The sequence below is a fragment of the Homo sapiens genome, chromosome 2 (genome assembly GCF_000001405.40).
Source record: "Homo sapiens chromosome 2, GRCh38.p14 Primary Assembly".
In the NCBI taxonomy this organism is placed as follows: domain Eukaryota; kingdom Metazoa; phylum Chordata; class Mammalia; order Primates; family Hominidae; genus Homo; species Homo sapiens.
Genome location: NC_000002.12, coordinates 181,421,856 through 181,427,358, shown reverse-complemented (window position 1 = coordinate 181,427,358; position 5,503 = coordinate 181,421,856). Strand labels below are relative to the sequence as shown.

General features: G+C 36.3%; 1 long non-coding RNA gene across 1 annotated transcript; it reads left to right on the top strand.

Annotated features, from left to right (window-relative positions):
* The first annotated feature begins 1,658 nt into the window (after window positions 1-1,658).
* Window positions 1,659-5,210, top strand: LOC124907913 (uncharacterized). The gene is made up of 2 exons (XR_007087327.1): window positions 1,659-1,903; window positions 4,967-5,210. It is a non-coding gene; the product is annotated as an uncharacterized LOC124907913 (long non-coding RNA).
* Window positions 5,211-5,503: the final 293 nt, after the last annotated feature.

Here is a 5,503-nt window from a genome sequence, read left to right as displayed (position 1 = left end):
AGTTATTCTAAGATTATACTGTTCGTACTTGAATTGATAGCTCATTATTGTATATTTGAAAGCTTTATGAAACAGTTTTACCTCTTCTCTATGTAATATTATTGAAAAACAGTGTTAAAATAATCTACAGGCTTTACACAGTGACTAAAACTTCACCATAAAATAAATCACTGTGTTAAGATGCTCAGTATCTGTGAGCACATAAGTGTTTGAAAATATGCAAAAAATAAAAAGGGCAAAGAAAATTAAGGGTATTTTTCAAGCTTCTCTGATAGAAAATTTATGATTATTTAAATTGGCCTTAGGGTGCTGTTTATCTTTTTGTATTATCTTTAGAGGGGAGGGAAAGGAAGAGAGGAGGGAAAGTAGCTTGTTAAGCAAATGAATAGTGCCCCCCTCTACCTTAATGCTGGAGGAGGACCCTTTTCAAGCACTTGAGAAGTGTGCAAACACTGTAATTGCCACATGAACAAAGGCCACTCTGCACAGCTCAGCTCACCCTTTGATATGGAAACTACAAATCTCTCCTTCTTTTAGTAAATCAGGATTTCCAGACAGCAACCCTTGAGTCCCACCGGTTTATACAACACTTTCCTCGTAATAAATTTAGATCACAGGTGGTTTTTAGTGTTTTGCTTTGTGCCTTAGCAATGTATCAAGGAGGTCTTAGGGCCCTGGCCTCCCTTCTTGGTAGATTCTACCTTCCCACCTGGAGAAATTAGTGGGAGTTAGGTAGGTGGTATGTGAAAGGTATTCCCAAAATGCAATTAAAAAAAAATCCCTTAAGCTTGTTTTGAACTTTGAAATATAATTTTTGGAATAGTGTTTTCTTATTGTTTGTAAGATGTATATGGGGGCAGTGGTATATCCATGAGCTATGAGCTTAGTTACACATAATCATTTGTGGAAAATACTTTGTGGTCTCTTAGATACACATAAAGTCAATTTACCCTCTCGAAAATATAATCCTCAATGATTTGACATTGGACTGAGTTCCAAAGGCTCAAGAAACACCAATGACTAGCCTGAGAAAGAATTTGGCAAGCAGAATTTGTCTATGGAAAAACTGGTCTCAGTGTTAACAGTAGAGATCCTGTCAGGAAAGGGTTGGGATGCTCAAAAAGGGTAATTGAAATAAATTTAATCAAGGCGTTACCACTACGGAACATATCCAAGTCACATGGCACCAAAGTATGTTAGCAGGGCCAAATCTGTACGAGTCTGCGAGAACCTCAATTCTTGCTGCCTCAGAAGAAAGAGTTTGGCCAAGGAGCATAAGGCAGAAGAAGCGACAGGCAAATATTAGAGCAAGAGTTAAAGTTTATTAAAAAGTTTAGAACAGGAACGAAAGGAAGTAAAGTACACTTCAAAAGGGCCAAGCAGGTGACTTGAGAGATTCAAGTGGGTGATTTGACTTTTGACTTGGGGTTTTATAGATTGGCATGTTTCTGGGGGGCTGCATCCCTTATCCCCTGATTTGTCTCTTGGGTTGGGCTGTCTGCAGGTGCAGTGCCCTACCAGCAAGTGGGAGAGACCGCATGTGCAGTGTTTACTGAAGTTGTACGCATGCTCCCCTGAGGCTTTCTTCCCTTACCAGTCGAGTGTTCCTGTCAGTTAAAATTTCACCATTTTGCCTCTTAGTGCACATGCTTTAACTCATTCCCCAACTCCTGAGATCTTATGGGGAAGCTGCTGATCATTACTTTCAGTTGTTTCTATCTACTGGGAGACAGCCTCTTCCTGGCACCAGCTATGACCAATTATTATTATAGGGAGACAGCTTAACAACTGCCTGGCCATCACTGGATGGTTGCCTCACATTCGTGAAGGGGTGTCTCTCTTGCCCGGCTCGTGTCCGACTAACTACTGACTGTAACAAAGAGACTATTTAAAAGTGTTTGAGGTGAGCGTTATGGGTACCTAAAAAGGGATGGTAAAACACCAGGATTGCCACTAGACTTGAAAGGCAAGGTGAGGGAGCAGCTATTGGGTCCTAGAGAGAGCTGTAGATGTAGCCGATGGAGAGCTACCCCACAGGAGCTGTGGCAGTTGGGGAACCAAGTTACTGACAGCCCATGGTCTGCCATGAAATAAAATTTACAAATCTCTTCCCCTGGTACTCTTTAATCTTCCGTCAGGGGCTCCCAATGACTAAGGTCAACCAGAAGCAAGAGGGTAAGAATACGGTTAATGTAGCCTATAGAAATTGGCCTCTTGACACCCAGAGCAGACTGAAGATGCACGTAAAATAAGTCTGGAAGAGCAAGACTCTTTGATACACTCAGATTTCCTAAAATGTAAGCCTGAGAGCTATTTGTGGAAGAAAAGTCACTGAATGGAAGCTCATATACACCTGTGTCAATGTTGACAGTGTAGGTGGGATTGTGACATCTTTTTGGTTTATTGATTGGCCCACCTTCTCTAAGGAAGAAAGGCAGGGCACCACCATCCTGAATATATAGGATGTATTTTAATTCCTGAAAAATTATCTTTCTCATTCTTCTGTCCCCCACTCACTCACTTACTCAGTGTATGATAACATTGCTGAGCAAATATGTCATGAAACAGGGCAATTGGCTAGCTGTCAGTCATAGATTGAGTCTCTTATAGATGCAAACATCAATCAAGTGGTTCCAAGGTCATACATTTTAACATTTCCTTGACTAAACCCTTCTCACATGACCAGTGTGTCGGGGGTGGGGATGCGGAGGTATAGTTGGGAACAGTGCAAAGAGGAAATTGATATTGATACCCTGAATTTACCAAGGCAACATTATCTTTAAGTACTGAAAGAAAGAATTTACATATTAGTAGAGTAACATTATCCTTGATAACAGTTCTTGTTAGTATCTTGTTAACAGTTCTGTCTAGGGTACTCTACATTTGCATACAACTCATTTAACACTTATAACTACCTATCAGTGGATTGGCCATATTTTATTTACTCCAATTTTACAAACGAGGAAACTAAATTATATAGAGCTTAATGATACCCCCAAATCACATAACTAGTTAGCCATGGAGTCAGATTTAACTCAGGCTTTCTAATTCTAAACACAGTTCTATTGTCACAGATAAACACAAGATATACTCTAATTATTAATACTTTTTATTTTGGTATTATCTTTTTTGACATTCAGATATTACTTCTGAGGTAAACATATTTAATAATAATGAACTTAACATCGTTTAAAATAAAATGACTAAAAATGGCTAAAAAGGAATTTTTCTATGTTATCAAAGTCTATTAACATTAGAGAATAGTCAAAATCAAATTACTTGCAAGTAACATTTTTTCCCTTACAGGAAATTTATTTAAATAGTCTCAAAGTATAAGGCCAAATACGCCGCAATCATATTTCAAGTTACAAAGGTTATTACTTGCTAGGAGCAAAAAAAAAAAATTTCACAAGATATTAGTTAAATCATATTTTATATGACTTGTTTAATAAACAGAAAATGGATTAACACAAATAATTTACTATAAAAGTGTTTTAAGATGATTTAAGCAAAAAATATAAAAATATTGTGAAAAATTATTTCTGACAATGTCAATGTTAGGAAAATCAACAAAAATAAATGAAAACTCAGAGCTTAACTAGTAAATCAAAATTAAACATAATATGATATAAAATCTGAATTATTGCTGTTCTGCATATAGTACTTCTCATAGAATTATGACTTTGGAAGGTTTATAAAACTAGAACCCCATAAAACCTCACTGAGGTAAGTAATACTCCAGTCCCATTTTTAAAAGCAGAAGCGGATGTGTCTGTGAGAACTGGAAGAGATACTCAACAGTGATTTCGTTACAAAGAAAATCCTCCTTTTGCTGATTTCTTATGCTAGATGATTTCTCCTTCTGCTTGCAATTCAAAGGATTTGTCATCTTAAAGACTGTTATAATTAAGCTAAGTAATTAAAAAAGGATCAGCATGCTTTATCTATCTCAAATAATAGAAACTTCTGCATTTAGGCCTATATAGCTTTTATATTTCTATTAGGCAATAGAGAATTATTTTCTAACACGATGTGTCATTTGAGTGGAATTCCGCTTGTATTTTTTTGGTCATGTTTACAACTTGTTTAAAATTGAGTATTATAGAGATTGATATATTTGACGTAACATTCCTAGAGATGTTTCTCCTCTACAAATTCTGGTAAAGATAATTCCTTGAAATGTCTTCAAAAAAATAATCCCATGCTGTAGATCGACAGTAGGAGAAACATCTATTCTCTGAGGGTCATTGTATCTGGAATTTCTTTCATCCAGCAGGGCCCTAGTTATTCACATTCATCTCTGAGCAAGACGAAATTGCAATAGATCCATGGTATCTCTGTTTTGCTTTCAGTATTACCAGAGTGATGTAAATACCATCACCAATTATCATTTACTAAATGCTGAATCTGCAAGGAATTCTGTAGAACTGCCATTTCCTACTAGGAGAGTAGAATCTTTGTTTTTAAGTAGATTTATTAAGGTAAAATTTGAATGCCATAAAATTGACTCATTTTAAGTGTATAACATGATGATTTCTATAAATTTAGAGTTGTGCTACCATCACCTCAATATGATTTTAAAACAATTGCATCACTTCATAAAGATAGACTCCTTGATTTTTAAATTTGTGAAACAGCAAATAAGTGACTCCTGTTTATGAAAACAATATAAAAATATGATTATAAATACTCTAAAGTGAAGTTATTACTTAAATTGTGGATTTTGTAGTTAAAGAGTAATACCTAGAAATCTTTGTTATCATTGAGTTGACAAGCTTTTTGGGTAAAATGTAGTTGCTGTAAGTATTTTATTCAACCATGGAGATGGCTGAAATTTTAACTGAATTACTTGTATGTTGCAATGTTTTCCTAAAACAGGAAAAAAAATTACAATTCGTATCTCTACAAATAATTTTACAAGCTGATCTTTAATCATTCTGAGAGATGACAGTGTTTCTTTTTACAGAGCCATGGGGCTTGGAATCTATTTAGATCAATACACAAGGCAGAAAGGACAAGACCCAGTTGCTGAACTGAAACAACTGATTCCATTGGTAGTCTCTCTATCAGCACCAAACCTGGAAATGCCACTCCTCAAGAAAAAGACCACCAATCCAAGCACCTTTCTAAAATCACTTAGTGGAGGCCTGAATCTTGTAAGAAAACTAACTTAGAGTTTCTGCATTTACAAATAAAATTTCTTTTCTGTGTGTTTTAGTTTCCTAGTGCTGCCCTAACAAAATGCCACAAACTGGGTGTTTTAAAACAATAGACATTTATTATCTCACAGATCTGGAAGATAGTAATTTGGAATTAAAGTGTCAGCAAGGCTATGCTCCCTCTTTGGCTCTGGATAGATTTCCTCCTGCTTCCTCCTACTCTCTGGTGGCGGCTACAACTCCCTGGTGTTCCTTGGCTTGAAACTGCATCACTCCAAGTTCTGCCTTTGTTATCACATGGTATTTTCCCTGTGCGTCTATGGCCTCATTTTAACCTGATTACA